Consider the following 21,744-nt stretch of genomic DNA (forward strand, 5'->3'; position numbering starts at 1 on the left):
GAGGAAGTGGCTGATAAAACATAGTCAAAGCAGTCCTCTTTCATAAGAGACATCAACAAATACAATCCAAATTGATAAACTGAAAAAAAGTTTACTTATTTTATTTAGAATTGTAATGGCAGTCCCTAAAGATCAAAAACCACATACTTTAAAGTGATCATTTTTGGGAACTAGAAATCGGGGATACAGTATGGGAGATATTACATATATTCTACTTTGTAATTACTCTTTTCAAATCATATGTAGAAATTATTTCCATAATATTAAATCTAATTTAAAAATACTTGTATTAATAGTGAATTGGTTAAATAGATTGTAGTATATCCACATATTAGAATAGTATTCAACATTTGGTTTAAAAAATGTAGGAGGGTAGCAACAAAACAACTGCAGGTCTAAAGCCTGTAATACAATACTATATCAATTGGATTTAATGTAAAAATGGAGAAACTGACCAAGGTAACCTTCACAAAATACTTACATTTATCATAGAATTATTTAACACAACAGATTATTTAGTATAAAATTATGTAATCTGTATAAATTAAATCTCCCACCAACACTTTTGAGGAAGAGAGACAGTATGGGCAGGAGGCCACAGTTCCTGTCTTATGTCAGTTTCTCTGGGAAACAGATCTGGGACAGAGATTTGCATGTAGGTGATGTATTGGGAGTGCTTTGGGGAACACCTGTGAGGGAGAGAGGGCTGCCAGATTGGGCAGTGGAAAAGCTGAACTGTGATGCTGTTGGAATATTTAGTTGACCCCATGGGGATTTCTGGGGCTGGGATGGACTTTCAAAGTTGTCATAAATGGAAGCAAGAGTGTTGAGTCTTTGTACCCTTACATTGAGCAGTCTTTGAATATAGGTTGTCCCTGTGGAGGGTATAAGTGTGGGTGAAGGAAGTTTCTTTGGTTGAGGCCAATTCCTGTAGTGGGATTGAGCTATGAAGCGTGGTTGGCAAACATTCCTGGCAGCTGGGGCAATGAGTGCCCTGGTCCTAAATGGAGAATCTAAGTGGAATACCATAGCCTCCATTACAGTAGCATCTAGGTGGTATCTGTGATTGTTCCTTAGTTGCCTTGTAGTGTTCCTCTCCCACTGGTGGCTGCCTAGATCATCACTGTGGATAAGATTCAGTACAAGGATCTCTTGTCAGAGCAAAGTCCAGAGCTTGTGGCCAGAGACTCCACCTTCCAGCATTGGAACAGTGGAAGAGCAACAGACAGTCCTGCAGAGGAAGCAGGTGTTACAAAGCAGGGTCAAAGCCCTAATATGTTGGTTCTAAATGGGCATAGTGAACATTTGACTCTGCTACAACCTCTTATCTGACTTTGGATTTTACAAATATGTAAATTAGATATTCTTCCTGGTCACAGGTAATTCTTACAGTGCTGATAAATTGTGATAAGTTGCCATAACCAGAACTTAGTTATAATCCATACACATAAATTCTCAACAGTGGTAAATGTTATGAAGCTATGGGAGTAGTATACATGCATAATTATAAGGAAATATTGTTTTCCAAAAATTATTCCTCAAAAAAGATACAATTACTTTATGTTTGAGACCTCTTGAAATCATATTATAGGATGTTATCTCAATTATCCTGTTTGAAGCAAGAAATGCTGTTTGGAGGATATAGCTTTCAGTAATTTTTATCAGTGCCATTTATGCTCTCTTGTTAAGCTCATCTGATGTAATCAATAAAATAGTTTTGAAGAAGTCCAAGTAGTAGAGAAGTAGAAGTAGAGTTAGTTATTTATTCCTGTGTATATACATTCACAAATAAAAGTGTTTGAAACTGTTTATAAAGTTTAAAAATATTATTTTTAAAGCAGTGCAATAAGTAAATATGTTATGGAAAATGGAAATAAATATCTACTGTAGTGCTTCTCAAACTTCAGTGTGCAACAGAAGCATCTGGAGGGTTTGTTAAAATACAGATTACTTGGCCCCACCCTCTCAAACGTTTCTAATTCATAGGTCAGATAAATGCCAGGCCTGGCATTTTGCATTTTTGGTAAGTTTCCAGGTGATGCTGATGCTCCTGGCTCAGAATCACACTTCGATAACTGCTGGTCTATTAGATAAATGGAAATAATCCTCATAATAAAAAATTATTGTTCTAGTAGTTTGTGAGTGAGTTCTTATGGTTTGGAATACATTTGCTGTAATGGCATTCCCAACAGTTAGATGGAGTTGAAGATAAAACACTTCAAAAAGTTAAGTTACAAGACTCCAAAACTAGCTCTAATGATCACAAATATTTATGTTCAACATACATCTGAAATGTTTCAGTTTCATGAAACTGGAGAGTGGGAGCAAAGTGGTATTTCATACAATGTTTCATTTAAAGCATGTATCATTCCAAAATTAAGTCAACATTATAAGCAGACATTGGCTATTTTATATACATCTCTAAATGTCTGTACACTAAAGCTGACCACCTTCCAAAAATATTGGATCCACTTATTGGGAAAGTAAAAATTTACCTTATATTTGCAGTAAACTTCTACTTGATATGCACATGGTATTATAGAGCAAAGCAATAAGTATAAAGCAATAAGTTTCCTACTATTTATATAATAATAAATTCATGTATCTTTGTGTTTGAGTTCACAGAAGTATGCTGGTTTATAACATGGATAAAATTCTGGAAAAATACACTCAAATTTTAAGATTGAGAAGTGACACATGGGAAGATTTTCCACATGCTTTCATACTACCTACACTTTTAGATTGATGATTTCATGATAAGTTGTACTACTTGTATAATTTAAATCAATTTTGAAGTGGCAATCAAGATTTATTTAAATTGAAGGAAATGGAACATACTTCTAAAACTAAAAGCAATAAAAATTACAGATTTTTTTTGGCATGGAGATGTAGAAGAACATAGAGGTAAATTGTTGTAGGGGTTGGCATTAAAGAATTCACCCCAGGACTGGGGAATCACACCCTTCAGCAAAGTTGAAGATCACATCTCACTGAGATGCCACATCTCAGTGGCATCTGTGTATAGCATGTGTCCTACTTTGGTGTAAAGGGATTACAGGAGAGTTCAGTGCAGAAGGAATGAAAAATGGAAGTTCCCCTCAGCTCATGTGTGGTAGGAATTGCCCAAACCATGAATGCAGGCCTTAATTTCTGGCACAGACAGAAGGATGAGAAATCAAGGCAGAAGTTTTTAATTCTAGTTTCAAGAACTCCCTGAAACAACATGCAGTATTTTATGTGTATTTGCATACGGAAATTTGGGGCAGGGCTCAAAGCAATTGTTAAAAGGGTCAATGATGCAAAACACGTTAGGAATCTCTTTATTAATTTCGCTCAAGACTCTGTCCAGAAACATCAGTGTCTTTCCTTGTAATTCTCCTCTTAAGGAATATTTCCTGTAATAAATCTTACAAATGCTCCTTAAATCATTTTAAATATTTTTTGTTGTTTTGAATTTTAAAGATGCCCATAACTAATTTTTTGATTAAATTTATATAGCTCTTCTTGGCCTAGGTTTTATGATACAATTATCTTCTACCCTTTAGTATTTAATTCTTTTTCCTCTGATTTACTTTAATGGCTTTATTATATATTTGTCTATTTCTTTAAGCTCCTTTAAATTATTTCTGAAATTAGTTGGCATACAGACAATAAAATAATAAGTGTTGATTATAATAGGCATGAGTGAAGATCGGATCCTTCATAAACATTTTAGATTTTTACTTTATAGTTTTGTGTAGAATATGCTATTGCATTTATGCATAATAACTAAAGATCATTAAGTCTGAAAAGGATTGTAGAGAGAACCTGGTGCTACGTTCTTATTGTGGACCTTCATTCTTAATCTAGTGATCCAGAGAGAGGGTTACATGACTCACTGCCAGGCACATAGTCACCTACTGTTTGAAGTAGGAGTTGCAGTTACGGAAGCTGCCATCACAGTTAGTGCAAATCTGCATTTAAATCTCAACAACCCCATCAGTTCTCTGTGATTTAAGTCATCTGCTCTTCTGGATCTCAACTGCTTATAAAATTAAAGTTTTATATCTGTGTATTAGGTAATGGTTAATTAATTATCTAATTATGCATTTTTTGGACCAAGATGTGGCCCTTTTCTTCATGTGTAGCATGATACCATATTTCAGCAATTCTGAGATTACCATATTTTTCACATTTAACATCTTTGAAATTAGAATGTGGCATATAATTGATGGTATGTCATAGTTTAATGTCATAGTTCAGTTATCAGGTTTTTAAAAACTTTTGTAGTGGTATATAAAATAATGATGTGTCTTATAATTGATAGTGTCTAAGATTCAATGAAGTACCAGGGAGTTGATAAATAGAAAACAGAAAACCATAACCACCCAACTTCCCTATCAATCAATCTTCTCTATTTCATAAATGATAGGAGAAAGCTTATTGTTTAATTGATTGTTGGCTTTTTATGCTACCAAAGAGGAGTAATTGCAACAATACAATGATTCATGGATGGCAACCAAAAGAACTGTGATCACCTAAGTGTAGCAAAAAGAAAATATTACTACCTGTTAATTTACATCCCATGAAGTTAAGCACATATTTCATCATTTGAGTGATGTCATCCTCTCTAAAATTTATGCTGAAACTTAATCCTCAATGCAACAGTATTAAGAGGTATGACCTTTGAGAGGTTATTAAGTCATAAGGGCTCCACCCTCATAAATGGGAGTCACATTCTTGTAAACAGGCTCAAGGTTGAAAGGAGAGTTCTCTGGCCCTTCATTCCTTCCATCATATGAGGACACTGGGTTAGTTCTCTCTGGAGGATGCAGCAACAAGACTCCATCTTGGAAGCAGACAGCAATTTTCACCAAACATGCAACAGGCCAGTGCCTTGATCATGGACTACCCAGCCTCCAGAACTGTGAGAAATAAATTTCTGTCTTTTATAAATTGCCCAATTTAAGGTATTTTGTTATAGCAGCAAAAACACACTAAGACAGCATGCATCAGCTCAATTATATATTGAATATTATGAAAGACTAGTTTAAATTTCAGCTCTCTCTTCTTAAATACATTTTTAGCTTTCATTATTCTATGCTTTCAATTCCTGTGGGTTAATGTAATTTTGGTTAGATTCTTGATTACTCGTTGGAACTATATCTGGATTTAGGATGTAAAAACAATAACTTTAATATTCCCAAGGAAACTGCTGAAATATGCTGTGTATATATAGGATCAGGGCTATCTTTTTCCTTCGTCTACCACTTGTCATCAATCTTTTGCAAGTTGTAAGTGAAAATGGAAGCTGTCATCAAGGCCTCAGCATTTGCTTTGGAGCCTTCAGGCAGCACATTTCTGTTCATTTCTCTTAAGCACTGAGCTTCAGCCTGTTCTTTGTTGATAATCAGAGCTTGACTTTATCTGCACCTGTCACTCCAGCCAGTACATAGATTTGCTCATTACACTTGTCTTCCACATCATTTAAAAGACCTAGCATAAAAGACTTAGCTATGATTACAGATTGCTTTCAAAAATGCTTCCTTCTGGTAGTAGCCGTATGTCTTCCCATACATAAACATATGTAGGCATGAAGGCTCTATAGCAACAGAAAGAGTTCCTATAAAATGCTGAGGATGTAGTCTGGTATTAGTGCACCAATTCAAGGTATGATAATAGAGGTGCAGCTTAAACTTCAAGACTACCTTTATGTCCTTGTACTTAGGAATTGAGAACAGTCTGTTAAGTAATGCATGTGCAGCAGTGATTTGTATAAAGAGATTTATGAGAAAAGTGCCCTCTGAGTTTTTTGGTCTAATGATGAATGTGATCCAATCAAACCATTAAAATGACTTAAGTGCAGCCAAATGTCATTTGTTGCTTGCCATAGTATTTTAAGAAAAAATAGCCATTACAAACCCTTGAAAAGGTCTTAATTGCTTTATAAGCTATGACAGCTCAGGATGACTAGTAATAGCCATTTGACTTTTGTGGAAATTATGAACTATGAAGGCCTAAATGTCATGTCTGCATGAGGATGTAGAAAGTGTTTATTCGTTTTTTTGTTATGTCTTATAATTATCTAGAAAAAATAAAAGAAGTTGGAACTTGAAATAGCCTAATGGCTTATTTCAGTCAGTAGGGTCTCCTGTACTATGACCTAATTTAGGACATTTTAGTTTAGTTATTGTTGACCAAATAAAGTGGTCTTAGATTTCTTATCTTCTGGATTAAAATAGCTTTTATTGAGGAGGAAAGACCCCAACCTACAAATTTGTTATTTCTAATTAAATATATACATACAAATATTTAAATTGCAGACTGTAGTATTTCATAGGTTAGAAAAGAGAACAGTAATAACAAAATCGTGAAAAATGCAGTCATCCCTCCATATCCATGGGGGATTGGTTCCAGGATACCCGATAGATACCAAAATCTGAGGGTGGTCAAATCCCTTATATAATATGGTGTAGTATTTATATATAACCTATGGACATCCTCCTATGTACTTTAAATCATGTCTAGATTACTTACAATACCTAAACAATGTAAATGCTATAAAAATAGTTGTTTTGGAGTATTTTATTTATATTATTATTATGATTTTTAATTTTTAAATATTTCAGATCTCCAGTTGGTTGAATGTGTGCATGTAGAACCCACAGACACAGAGGATGGGCTACATTATGTAGCGTAAGTAGACCTTTACCATCTTATTAAACAACTGTAATTCAACTACAATTTAGTGAGTGGAAAGGAAGACTGATTTTCTTTATCATTTGTTTGTTCAGTTTCAATAAATGTTTACTGAACCACTACTATGTTTAAGATGTTAGAATGTGGTTTTTGAATGTTTGTGGTTGTAATAATTTTTTTTAATGGAGTTACCATTTATACAATTATTATTTATGACTCCTGATATTTTCCTAAGTTTTCCCTGAGATAGGTGGGGGTAAAGGCAGGTTAGGATTTTTTTTTTCTGAACCTGGTTATTTTTGTGAGCAGTGAGCATCAAGGAGCTGACAGAGGAGGGCACCTGTATTCAACGATGCTTAGTGAGGATAGGGTCAGAGGATTAATGTGATACTTAATGCAGGAAAGGAGAGAGATAGCACAGCTGTGAAATTTTCAGAAGGAGTTGGGTCAAAAGAGAGTAACTGACACTGTCAGGGTGTATATGGCCCTGAAGCCTTGACATGTTATATGTTCCAAAGTAAGCTTTTATCTTAGGTCTTGCACTATACTAGTCATTTTGTCAAGCAATTAAAATTTTTGTCACCATTATATTTAGGATTCTCACTGTTACAAAACTTGTCCTAAATTGCAAAGAAGTCCAAAGTAAGAAGAACATCAGGAGTGGGTATGGTGGGGTTCAGGGGAGAACACATGTATACCAGATCTGCTACCAAAGAATTGCCGTAGACTTAAAACTTATGCTTTAAATTGTGAAATCTAAGTCATATTCAATATACGAGTTGTCAAAAAGCATATTTCTCCATCATAATAGAAAACAAAAATAAAGAAAAACATGAGTCATTTGGCATCCCTCAACTGATGTTGCTTTTTCATCATGACAGTTTAAAGCTGGTTGATATCAGTCCTTCTCATTTGCTGATGTCACTCCTGCCTTTACTCTGGATTTCTTGATGGACACGTTTCTTGCTCCACATCAGTCATATGATATTTTGGACAAGGACTATTATGGTCTGAATCTTTGAAGGCGTTATTTTAACTACTTAAAATTGATGCCATAATAATGTCTAGAACATTTTCTGGCATGTTGAAAGCATTCATGTTTGTTGACTCAGTGAAAAAAGATTCTCTTTTCTCCTCTCTGGAAAACTTGCAGGGACTCTACCTGCCTCTCCTAAAGCGCCAGACATTCGTTCTCCCTCTGCTCTATTTTTCCCCTTCACTATTTCTCCTCTCTCCTACTTTGGAATTCTCTTGAGAGTTGGAAATGTGATAAAAGTGATCAGTGTCCCAAGAATGGGAAAGAGTGGTTCAGGCCTCTGGATAATTATACATAGATGGCACTCTGCCCTTTGTTTTATTGAGCCTAGGACTCTACTGTTTTTTTTTTTTTTATTGCTTTAATGGTGTAAACTGTTGTTTTAATAATGAATTTAATTTTGTCTAGTTTCAAGAAAAGTTAGTATTTTGTCTTGATCATTGAGATATAGGCAAATGAAACAGGTGAGTTTAGTTTAGTTTCTTGGATTATATGCAAAATTTGTTAAATTCATCCATAATTACAGAAATTTACTTTTTCTCACTAAGATCAAGGATAGATTTTAAAGCTAGTTAAATATTTAGTTTAAAAGGTTTAGTTTTACTATGAATATTATCTAAAGTGATAGCAAAAAAGTCTTCCATTAGTATGAATGTTTTCACTGCTGTATTAATAAGGTTGCTTATTTTTACATGTTCTGCCAGAGCAAAAACAAAAATATGAGTTAAAAATTTTTCATAGAGTCAGTATTCTAAACATATACCTCATTATAGTATGATCATATTTTCACTAGACTTTTTATATCTCATGATTGGGGGTGCTATTATAGAATCTCAAAGAGCATTTTTTTTGCTACATTATTTAGGAAAAGCATGTTGTTAGATATCTTATTAAATAATTCTAATAAAATGTGGCAATTTATTAAAAATATGGAATATGTACAAGATGTCCAAGTAACTTATAGTGCAAAATATGCTATAAAGTGGTCTGCACACTAGAAAAAAATTATAAATGAAGAAAACAAGGATTAATGGGAAAGAGAAAGGGGCTCATATGTTTCTTCCTCTTTTTCCCCCCACTTTCATCTACCAATAGGCAGAGTGTATTGTATGAAAGAAAGTTCCCCTCCCTACAATATGAGCTCCACAGCTGCCTGCATTTCCATCAATTAGAGATTCATTTGTTTAACAAGTTCAATACCTCTGGGAAATTACCACCTGGAAGATTTTATTCTTTCCAGTTTATAAACAAAAGGCACCTGCTTCAAACGTTGCAGAACCCAGATAGAATATAATTAAAGTTTTAAGCTAAAAGAAGCAACTGGGGAGGGATTCCTGACCTTAACACTATCAAGAGTCTCCCTCTGAATTTTGGCCTTTAGCTCTTGCTTACATTTTCAATTTTATCAGCTCAACAGGTAGAATTTAATTATATGAACTCCCAGGTCTGAGTGTATTCCTTTTAATAAAACAGGGGCATTTTTAATCCCTGCAAAGTATAGACTATTGACTTACTAAACAGTCTGCCCAAAATGTGTGCCATTCTTTTGCCTAGTATGTTACAGGCCTGAATTTATTGGTCAGTATTCCACGCAAGACACATAATTGTGATGGTAGTGATAGGTTGTCAGTGCCTGTGATGTTTCAGTACTGTGTTGGTTGAGATTGCTATGATTCCTGCCCTTAGAGCTTATAGTCTAGCAGGGAGATTATACATGAAATGTCTCATTACATAAGTATTTAACTACTGGGGTATAAGGAACCATGATGCAAAGAGTATGGACCCATTAACTGACTTAGTTATTCCATCTAAACGGTTTCAAGTTACTTGCCCTGATTACTTCAAGGAGATGAGATGGACTTCTATGCAGGTTTATGTATGCTTGTAAGGAGCTTCAGTGTCCCATTATCTTCTTTGAATATTGCTACACTCAGGGTACATTGAGAAAGTATTATATTAATACTAAATCAATTCTGCTCAACATCCATCAAAGTTCTTGTTGACAGAAATTTAAGGAAGATTGACTTGAAAAATATGCCATTCATCTTCCTTCAGGTACTCTGTCTCTGGATAAAACCAGTTCAATAGGGAGCTGCCTGTGTGAACTTTGTTTTATTGCTCCTATATCCTGTGGAGTTTGTATTGACTTGCACTTTGACACAATGACATTAACTTAGGTTGAAGGATATTGCGGGAAGCAGCCTGACGAAATGCGTTGCTGCGCATACCATAAGGGTGTTGTGCATTACATTTACACCTTGTTCTCCAAGAGAACCTATGGAGAAACTTCCTGCAGGGGTCAACACACAAGTATTTGTGTTTTTTTCCTTAGCAACCAGTTTGTGTTTATCTTATGGTCTATGTGAATTAAGTAACTAATGCTTTCTGGATTCTAGAAAGTTAAAATAAAGTTTATGGCTCATGTCCAGCAAGTATATAATATATTAATGCACGCATTAAAAATTAACCTCTCTCCTTTTTGTCTTTATCTTTCTCTTATTTCATTTCTCCCATCTTAAATTTGCCTTATCTTGCTGTGTGATACATATTAAGGCATCTTAAAACATTTCTGTAACAAAGAGGGGTATAAAATATAAATCTCACGAAGAGCTAAGCAATTGGCCTAACAGAATTTATTGAAAAACTTTTATTCTGCACGAATCCATGATGTCTTTATTACATATTTAATTTTTTACATATATTAAGCTCTGTTTTGGGGCAGTTTCTTTTCTTTTCTTTCTTTCTTTCTTTTTTTTTTTTTTGCTCATTTATAATACTACATTGACTCAGAAACTCCACTGTCTGACATTCATCCTAAGAAAATAATTAAGGATCATCACAAATATTTGACTACATAATACTTATTTGTGTCACTTTTTTGCAGTAGCGAAAATTGGAAAACAATCTAAACTTCTAAATATAGAAGATAAATTGAGCAAATTGAAGTGCAGTCATATAATCAAATACTTATGTGATAAGATATTGTAGTTTATTTATTGATATGTTCAAATTTATTAAGAGCAATAAAACAATGAGTGTGTACATCTGATTATATTTATGTAAATATGTATTTAAGTGAGATTCTTTGCTTAATTGCTTAGGAAGCATATAACGGCTTTTCAGTAGTACCCAAAGCACAACACTAGAGCACCTTCCTACAAAGACTGGTGGAATGTTTTTCTCTCCTTGAGGCCCTTCCTCAGATATATTTCCAAGAACACCTTTGGCTGTTTTCTCATGTCCAAAGGACCTATTCTGGTTTTCTTAGCCATGTTGCAAGAGCCAGAATTCAGAAGCTCTCCCTTGAGGCTGAATGACTGCACATTACCACTGAGTGCCAGTTGCTCCATAATAAGTCACCGTACCCCTTAGATTTCTAACAAGACTGGAAGTGAATATTGCCCTTGAAATTTGTCGGTACGAAAGGTGTGTTTAGTGTCCCTTCTGCCGATACATATTTCTGTCCAGTGCAACCCACTCCTTAGGGTGTGAGGGAAAAATGTATTTTCTTTTGTGTTTTCCTTGACCAAAGATACTCAACACCAAGATTGCTTATACTCTAAAACTTAATGGTTGTTGCAGTGTTCACTCATAGCCCTGCTTTCCAAGGCAAATCTACAGTGACTTAGTCCAGAGCATTTTCGAAGTTGTCACAAACTGACGGTAGAATCAGCTCAGAGGACTTAGTCCGGCTCCCAGTTCCTCTCTCTCAGAATAAATATTTCTTTCAGTGGAAACATCCACTTTATTTTGCGCACACATACACAGAAAAAGGTTTGAACTAGTGTGTACCACAATGATATTGTGTGACTTTTTTAAAATCTTAATTTTGCTTATCTATAGTTTAAAATTTTTCTACATGATTATGTGTCACTAAAGTGTCTTAGTAATCTGAGTTTCATGCACTTTTTACTAAAATTTTAAAATCTTTTTGTTTTAGAAACTTTCAAACATATGGAAAATGGAGACCATAATATGCAGAGTGAACTTGTGTACCTATCACTCACAGCCAACAATCAACACTTTTTATTTTTTTATTACTCACTATTACCCATAGCATTTTGTTTTGCTGCAATATTTTAAGGCAAATCTTAGATATTATATCATTTTACCTATAAATACTTTCATATTCATTTCTCACTGCAAAGTCATTTTTTAACATACTCATTGTGCCATTGTCTTAACTGATTGAATTAATAGCAATTGCTTTGTGTTCTCCCCAGTTTATATTCACACTTGCCTGACTGTCTCTCAATAATGTATTTTTTACACTTGGCTTATTCAAACCAGGAATCAAACGTGCTTTACATATTTTCTTTAATTTATGTTTCTTATGTCCTTCTTCTTCTTCACCCTTTTTATTTATTGATTTATTAGAACACTGATCATTTGTCCTTTAGAATGTCCAACATTTTGAAATTTGGTTGATTGTTTTATTCTTCTGTTGTTCAGTTTGTTTTCATTTTTTTATTCCATGTATTTCCAATAAACTGGTTGTTAGAATATAAATGTTTGATTACAGTTAGCTTCTTTTAAGACAAAAATAATTCACAGTCATTGGCATCAATTGTTATTGTATTTCATTATTAGGAGATAATGCCTAACTTTTGGTGATGCTAGAGCTGGTCATTAAGTGTATATTGGCACTCTACACATATACTTACTTTTTATAAAAGTAGAACATGCACATGGTTAAAATATGCAGTTGCACAGGGGTCTTATATGGCTCCAGCCTCCTTGTCCTCTGCTCCACCCTGCACTATTCCTAGTTCCAAATTTAACGATTTTCATTTTTAGTTCTTATGGTCATTATGTTTAGCCTTCCAATAAGACGCTTATACTCTTCTTTCTTGACTGGTGAACTCTTGGACATAATCTATCCTAGACATACTCCATCCAGGAGGTGAATAGCAAGGACTTGTTTATACTGCTTCTTCGTTTTATGTTGCCCATATTCCTAATACTGTTTTATTATTTTCAGTTTATCTGTTTCTTGTGTGTTACTGTGAAAAAATCATTTCACTTATTATCCTTGTTCTATGAATTTCAGACAGAATTGCTCATTCTCCACCTTGAAAAATGAAGATACTAGCTTTTTATTGTTTCCTCTACCTGTCCTTTACTTGGAGTTTCTTCATTTTTCACCTTCCTCATCTGATGAGGAGAAATGCCATTTTCCTTGAAATGGACTAGCACTTGCTTCAGGTAGGAAGTGCAGTGCCCCCAGTCAGCTGTGGAACATCACCTTTAAGGCTGTGGAAAAGGGTAAAGATGGCTAGGGAAGGAGGGCTGTCCCAGACAACTTTATGGACTGAACCCTCTCTGAAGAAGGGTCAACTTCAGATCTCAGCCTCACTCTCAGCCTGGGCCCTTTCTGAGGAGACCAGGGAAGACTGTATTCAAACTCAGATCCCTAGAGCATTTGGATGTCAGCATAGTGAGGTTTTTGGTCACAGTTGCATTTATTTATTTATTTCTATGTATTTCTCTTTCATCGCTATGGGTACAGTAGCAGTCTCTTCAGGAGTTTGATGCTAGTTAGCTATTCTGGGGGCTTGCTTAAAATTCAATGGGAAAAAGTACTAACTGATTTTTTTTGACAAAGCATTAGAATGAAATGACAATTTTACCTTGTGGAGGTAGAAAATGTCTTCTTAACAATACTGAAACCCGAGATGCCATGAAACTAAAATGTATTTTAGTCCTTAAGTAATGAAAAATGTCTAATAATATATAAAAATAACACATGACAGAGGTTTAAAATTCTTAATACTTAAAATTATTCTCCCACATCATAAGCAAAAGATGAATAACAAGCAGAATGAAAACAACAAAAGATAAGAAGAGAAAATACTTGATAGAAGAAATGCAACGGTCCTAAAATTCTAAAATTCAGACATTTCTAGATACATGTAAAAATGATGTTTAAACTACCGTAAAATTGAATTAGAGATTAACATCTATCTAGAAAAATAAGAAAACAGCATAATTTTATAATGTTAATTAACCCACAAACAATCATTACAATAAAATGCACCTAAATATGACTCACCTTGGGAAAGTTAAGCATGTAGAAATAATTTGTTGCTATACCAGCCTTTTCTATAAGGATATATTCTGCTTTTCTGTGTTTTGGATAAAATAAAGCCCATAGTGATTTTAACAAGAAAAATATTCATTGAAAAGGAAAAGAAAAAAAAGCAAGAAGAAGAAAGAAGAAAATATAATGCTTAATGCTGTTTCTCTACACAGAATGTCCTTCTGAGCTTCCTCACCTCAGTAAATTACTACATGGCATTTCCTGAACTAATAGTAATAATTAAACTGTTCTCACTTGTCTTTTAAGTTTAAATTGATAATTGTGCTGGAAGCTCAGAAAAAAGATCATTAGTATATTCCACAGCAGAAACTGAAGATAAACTGTTCCTTAGTTGATATTAAATGTACTGTTACATACAACTAAGAATGCTTTTTTATTCTGGAATGTGTATACATTAGAAGCGTGTTATATTTTGTTGGGCATCGCAGCTTGGCTGTGCTTGGAAAGAGATATCATTTCAGTTTGATATCTGGCTTGACTGCATTTGCCTGAGGAACAGATAGTTGACTGATTGATAGATCGATTGATAGATAAAGTGCCCAAGCTAATTGTCATTGCATTGTCAGCATTTTAACAGCCTTTTGTTTTTCCTTTGCTTTTCCTCAGTGTTCCTAAGTGTTTATGGTGGTAAGCATTTTATTATTTACACATGCAGTAAAAAATTGATGTTCTGACTTCCTCTAACTGCCACACCCCACCTTGTCCTTCATAATTTTTTTAATACAGAATAACCATGAAAGATTCAAGAATACGGAGATAAAATCAGGCAAGAAAATCATGGCATGATATGGTTATAATACTGAAACTGAATCAGTACAGAAGTGTTTGAATTCTAACCAGGAAGGTCTCAGCCTCTACCAATATCCAGAATGAAATTTTAAAAAAATTTTGTCTATTTTGACTGGTGGTTTTTATTAAATCATCAGTTTGTGGGTAGAACATAACAAAAATACCTGTTCTTTTTATTTTTAGCATTTATCATATTTTGCAATATGATATCCCATCTATCTGTTCACATATCCCATCTATCTGTTCACAGGTGTACAACCTCTCTCTTTTACTGTAAATGAACTCCATGATGGGAGGGTTTAAGCCTGTTGTGCGCACACCTGAATTTATAACACTTGACACATAAAGGTGTTTATTAAATACTGACTAATAAATAAAGAAATAAGAGGAAATCATACTAGTAATTGTGTGTGAAGGTTAGCAACTGTTACCAGCTACTGAACGTCATTTCTTAACTAATCCTTCCCATTTTGACTGCAGAGAAACTGACTAGGAGATATCAGAGATCAAGTCCTGCTAAACTTTCTGTCACTTCATTCTAATAGCTTGCTAGCAGGAGGAAGTTGGATATACTTTAAGTTTTAGGGTACATGTGCACAATGTGCAGGTTAGTTACATATGTATACATGTGCCATGCTGGTGCACTGCACCCAGTAACTCGTCATCTAGCATTAGGTATATCTCCCAATGCTATCCCTCCCCCCTCCCCCCACCCCACAACAGTCCCCAGAGTGTGATATTCCCCTTCCTGTGTCCATGTGATCTCATTGTTCAATTCCCACCTATGAGTGAGAATATGTGGTGTTTGGTTTTTTGTTCTTGCGATAGTTTACTGAGAATGATGTTTTCCCATTTCAGCCATGTCCCTACAAAGGACATGAACTCATCACTTTTTATGGCTGCATAGTATTCCATGGTGTATATGTGCCACATTTTCTTAATCCAGTCTATCATTGTTGGACATTTGGGTTGGTTCCAAGTCTTTGCTCTTGTGAATAATGCCGCAATAAACATACGTGTGCGTGTGTCTTTACAGCAGCATGATTTATAGTCATTTGGGTATATACCCAGTAATGGGATGGCTGGGTCAAATGGTATTTCTAGTTCTAGATCCCTGAGGAATCGCCACACTGACTTCCACAATGGTTGAACTAGTTTACAGTCCCACCAACAGTGTAAAAGTGTTCCTATTTCTCCACATCCTCTCCAGCACCTGTTGTTTCCTGACTTTTGAATGATTGCCATTCTAACTGGTGTGAGATGGTATCTCATTGTGGTTTTGATTTGCATTTCTCTGATGGCCAGTGATGACGAGCATTTTTTCATGTGTTTTTTGGCTGCATAAATGTCTTCTTTTGAGAAGTGTCTGTTCATGTCCTTCACCCACTTTTTGATGGGGTTGTTTGTTTTTTTCTTGTAAATTTGTTTGAGTTCATCATAGATTCTGGATATTAGCCCTTTGTCAGATGAGTAGGTTGCAAAAATTTTCTCCCATTTTATAGGTTGCCTGTTCACTCTGATGGTAGTTTCTTTTGCTGTGCAGAAGCTCTTTAGTTTAATTAGATCCCATTTGTCAATTTTGGCTTTTGTTGCCATTTCTTTTGGTGTTTTAGACATGAAGTCCTTGCCCATGCCTATGTCCTGAATGGTAATGCCTAGGTTTTCTTCTAGGGTTTTTATGGTTTTCGGTCTAATGTTTAAGTCTTTAATGCATCTTGAATTGATTTTTGTATAAGGTGTAAGGAAGGGATCCAGTTTCAGCTTTCTACATATGGCTAGCCAGTTTTCCCAGCACCATTTATTAAACAGGGAATCCTTTCCCCATTGCTTGTTTTTCTCAGGTTTGTCAAAGATCAGATAGTTGTAGATATGCGGCATTACTTCTGAGGGCTCTGTTCTGTTCCATTGATCTATATCTCTGTTTTGGTACCAGTACCCAAAACAGCATGGTACTGGAAGGTGGGTTCTTGCATCTGAATGAGAAGTAGAAAAAGAAATAAATTGGAATTTGGGGCAGAAAATTGGAATTTATTTAAACAAAATCTATTGTATAAAAAAGGTTATATTAAAAACAGGAAAAGATTTTACATTTCTAGTATGCTGAAGGAGGTTATAGTAAAAAAAGTAATAAAGCAACTATATGATTCGAAAATTATAAAAATGTTTTCATTATAATTAAGATATGAATATTTATTAGCAATGATTATTTTAATGTTTTCTAAGACATTCCAAGATATGGATGCACCATTTGGCTCAGAGAATCAATATTGAGCACACATTTACTTAAAAGTCAAATTTACCATTTAAAAAATAGAACTAATGACCTCAAACATTATAAAGTGATTTTTGTTGGTTTGAAGATATAAGACCTCATTAATTCATATTCTACATAATTTGGAATTTGTGATTGCTTGCCAAGGGTGACATTTCCTTTTGCATTATCCTGAAGAAAGTTTTAACTGAATAGATGAATAGTTTAAAGAAGATGGTTGAAGATATTTAACCTTTATAAAAGAGTCAACATAATTTAGAAGGCTTTAGAACATTGTATGCAAATAGATGCTTTTATTTATGAATTGATTTTTGTCTATTAATTAAAGCAAGTTTAGAATAATTTGTTTTTACAAATATAGTTTTAGTTACTCTAGTATACATATAATAATTCCAAATAATTATTAAAGATAGTACACTGGAGGTGATTATTATTCATTTATTTACTAAACAAGTATTTTCTTAGGGGTAATCATGTACGAAGACAGACATTATCCCTCATATTGTGGAGTTTTTGGTCTAGTGCAACGTTTTAGAAACTTGTTTGATTGCACGGCTCTAATAGGAGAAATATTTGACAATGCACCATTGATATATGTATATTTACCTATAAATAACATGCATGTACTATTTTACTAATATATGAAGCACATTAAAAAACTAATTCAAGAATAAATCATGACAGGGTAAGATAAAAGGAAACATGAATTAAAGTTTTAGTAATAAATTTTCAGGTGTATTTCCTGGGTCGCCTTCTACCCACGTAGGAAGCTCTGCCTAGTAAATGAGATAGGCATTGAATCAGTAGAGAGAAAAATGTTTATATACTTATAAATATAATAAATTCTATAAAAAGTATAGTGATGAGAGAGAGGGAAAAAAAAGGCGAGAAAGAGAAAGGAGACACAAATTATATAGTGAGGTTGAAAGATCTTCTGAGGAGGTGCCATTTGAGCTATGTCTGAATTAACCAAAAGAAGTACGGTGGGAAGAGCATTCCAGGGAGAGAGTACATCATACTCAGAGTTCCTGTGGTGGGAAAGAGTTTGGTACATTTGAGGAGCTGAAAGAAGACCCATATGGCTGGAGTGTACTAAGAGGATCTGTGGCACAAATCTAGGTTGAAGAGTCAGGGAGGGCCTGTGCTAAGAAATCTGGGTTTTGTTTTTTTTTTCTGATTTCACTGACAAACAATTGAAAGATTTTAAGCAGGGAATTGCCATAATCTGATTTACATTTTAGAAATGCATATTGGCGACACTGAGGTTTTGACCTTGAGAAACTCAGTGGTTGTTGCTATACTTATTCAGATGGGAATGATTGGGGGTGAAATATGTTGGGGGAATGGAGTTGTATTTTGGACATGTTACATTTGAGATGTATTTGTTAGGCTAATGTTAGCTGCCATAGCAACTAAACCCCAAATTTCAGTGGTTTACCGAAATAGAAGTTTGGTTTCCTGATTAGCGGCTGGCTTTTGTCAATATATTGATTCAAGGATTCAAGTTCTTTCTCCCCTGAGTTTCCCCAGGCACTGAGGGAACAAAGCCCTCTGAATCAAGCAGGTAGAAGAGGAAAGACAATATGGAGAATGCACACTTGCTTCTTATTCTTGGAGCAGAATGACACATATATATTCCATTTATATTTTGTTGGGGGAAAATCAGTCATATGGTCCCACCAAGATGCAAAAGGGTAACCATCATTTTACTCTCTACTTTTAAGAGATCAACTTTTTAATATTCTACATATGAGTAAGACAGGCAGTATTTGTCTTTCTGTGCCTGTATTAGTTCACTTTACATAATGTCTTACAAGGCAGTGAGGTAGAGGGTTAGGGGAGTTTGTGGAAATGTTGGCCAAAGAATATAAAATTCCCATTAGAGAGAAGGAATAAGTTCAAGAGATCTTATTGTGTAACATGTTGACTATAGTTAACAACAATATATTGTGTTCTTGAAAAATGCTGAAAGTGGATGTTAAATGTTCTCACCACAGAACTGATAATGGTGAGATAATGCATATAACAGTAGTGAGATTTAGTCATTCTACAATGTATATATACTTCAAAACATCACGTTGTACATGATAAATACATACAATTTTATCTGTCAAATTTAAAAATAAAATAAGATGCAAAAGAATCTGGGAAATATCATCCCCTCACAGCAAGAGTAGCCACTTTCCAGAAGAAACTCTGAACTGGGAAAGAAGCTTTCATTTTTGGTCAATGGCTATGCATTGCCACAGGCATCTATTAAATGTTCCCCTGGATACATTAAGTAAAAAGTTGACTATAGAAATGTGTATCTCAAGAGAGTGGTCTACTCTGATTATAAAAATGTAATTTTCATCTGTGTGTCTTTGTAGAAAGATTAGAAGAGATGTCTTACTAGAACCAAACCCCAGAGCACAGTGACATTGGTAGTCAGATAAGGATTATGCAATGAAAACTGAAAATGTCATCAGGGATGTAGAAGAAAACAATCAAGACTTGGTGGCATCATAGGAACTATGAGAATTTTTTCAGAAACATCTGAAATTCTCACTAGTTCAAGTTTTTATTGAATATTGAATTGATATTTTTCTGTCACAATTTGTCTAAATAGACATACTTTCTATATACTATGAAATACAGTTTTCTGACTGCTGTACAAACTACCTTTTAAATTTTTCGTTTTCTTTTTCTTTTTGTTTTTTGGGACAGACTCTCACTCTATCACCCAAGCTTCAGTGAACTGGTGCAACTTCTACTCACTGAAATCTCTGCCTCCTGGGTTCAAGCGATTCTCATGCCTTAGTCTCCCTAGTAGCTGGGATTACACATGTGCGCCACCACACCCGGCTGATTTTTGTATTTTTAGTAGAGATGGGGTTTCGCCATTTTGCCCAGGCTGGTCTGGAACTCCTGGCCTCAAGCAATCCACTCGCCTTGGCCTCCCAAGGTGCCCCCTCAAAGGTGTGAGCCACCGCGCCTGGCCATAACATTTTATCTTTTAAAAAGAGCTTTAACATTTATTGTAAAGCAATAAGCATGACCTTTTTAAATTTTAATTTTAAAATTAATAACAGTTTTTAGTATTGTAAAAAATTCTCTTGATTTTAGTTATAAATTTCTGCCCAAATTTATGAGATTTGGGGACTAACAAGTCAATTCATAAGCTAATGTAATCTGTAGTGACATAGAGAAAAATAAAAAAAAAAACTTCATTAAACCATCACTTCAATTTAATTTTGTAAAATGCCAATACTTTAATTTATTAAAATATGGATTATATTGACATAAATTTAGAGCAGAGGTTGGCAAACTCTAGCTGGTGGGTCAATTCCAGTCTGACACCTGTCTGTGTACAGCTGTCAAGATAAGAATAATATTTACATTTTAAAATAGTTTTAAAAAATCAAAGGAATAATGATATTTTTGACACACAAATATATATAAAACTCCAACTTCAGTCTTAATAAATAAAATTTTATTTGAACACAGATACTTCATCCTTTTATGTAACGTACATAGCTACTTTTATGTTACAGCAACAGAGTTAGCAACTGAGACAGAGCCCTGCAAAGTCTAAGATATTTACTATTTAGCCCTTTATGGAAAAGAAAATGCCAACCTTCATTTAGAGTATAGAAAGGAGGACAACTGGCATTTAAGATGATATTTGCAATGCACTGAAAACAGAGACAAACACAGAGCAAGCATTTAATATGTTACTTTTTCATCTTTTCCCCCATTATTTTTCAGGTTATGAAGTCAGTTCAGGAGAACTTAAAATATTCAGAGTACATTCATACTGTTAAATACAATTACTTATTAGAATAGTTTTATATATTTGAATTTATACTGGAATCACAGGTTTTTTGTTAAAGATCTTCAGTATACATTAGTTAGTTAAAGTGTTTTAAGTCAGATTGTTGTAAATGTATAAGTTAACTGTAACAGGTATTTAATAGCAATATTATATAAAGGTGGCATATTTCGTTCATTGAATTTTCTTTGCAATTTACTGTTTTTGAAAATCCAAGTGTTTGAAGTAAATAGGGAATATAAACTTTGTCTTGTATCTGTTTTTATTTAATATTTAGAACTGTGGTATGGTGATTAGTTTAGTTGAATATCTATTCAGTTAAATAAATCAAGTATAAATTCTTATGTGGTTAAATGTAATAGACCAAGTACATAAAATAATAATTATCCATATCATAAATTCAGAAACTATGTCTTTTAATTTTTTATATTCTTCGTTCAACAAAACAAAAGTGTTTCAGTTCGTATAATGCAACTGGTGGTTAGATTAAAATTTTCAAATTGAATCAAAGATCCATTTTTGACAGAACATTTGATCTGGTTTTTTCATTTAGATAGAAATTAATATGATTTCTGCCTATTTAAATTTCCTATAAATTCATGTTACTATAAAGTATAAGACCAGGGGTTTAGAAATTTGAATCTAATTATTACCTTCTAGTTAAAAATCATTGCTATCCCAGCAATCATATACATTTTTTCTCTTCCTATTTTTTCTTCCCACCTCTGCATTTCTCAATGTCTAGTATTGCTTCTATCCCTAAATACTTTGAGATAAATATTTTTTCATAGTATGAAAAGCACCATTTAAAATGCCATACAAGTATAAAAGTGTAAAGAAAATAAATCTCTGCATTTGTACATTGTAATAAAAAAGAATAAACTCTTTTCCCTCAGGTGTTGCCCAAAATATTATTTCCTTTGTAACTTTAGATCCAAATATTACATGAGAAATACTTTTATGCTGGTAGAAGAAAACATAACTAGTCAAGAAATTAAAAACTTTTTGTATATATAAGCTGTATATGTATATATATATACACATATATAGTTTCCTTT

General features: G+C 34.0%; 1 long non-coding RNA gene across 2 annotated transcripts in view; it reads left to right on the forward strand.

Annotated features, from left to right (window-relative positions):
* Positions 1 to 21,744, forward strand: part of LOC107984041 (uncharacterized) — a 367,164-nt gene that overhangs the window by 317,012 nt on the left and 28,408 nt on the right. For both annotated transcript variants that reach the window (XR_007059692.1, XR_002956381.2), the window contains exon 6: positions 6,609 to 6,675. This is a non-coding gene — a long non-coding RNA (uncharacterized LOC107984041). The remainder of the gene's footprint in view (positions 1 to 6,608; positions 6,676 to 21,744) is intronic.

The sequence above is a fragment of the Homo sapiens genome, chromosome 6, assembly GCF_000001405.40.
Source record: "Homo sapiens chromosome 6, GRCh38.p14 Primary Assembly".
In the NCBI taxonomy this organism is placed as follows: Eukaryota; Metazoa; Chordata; class Mammalia; order Primates; family Hominidae; genus Homo; species Homo sapiens.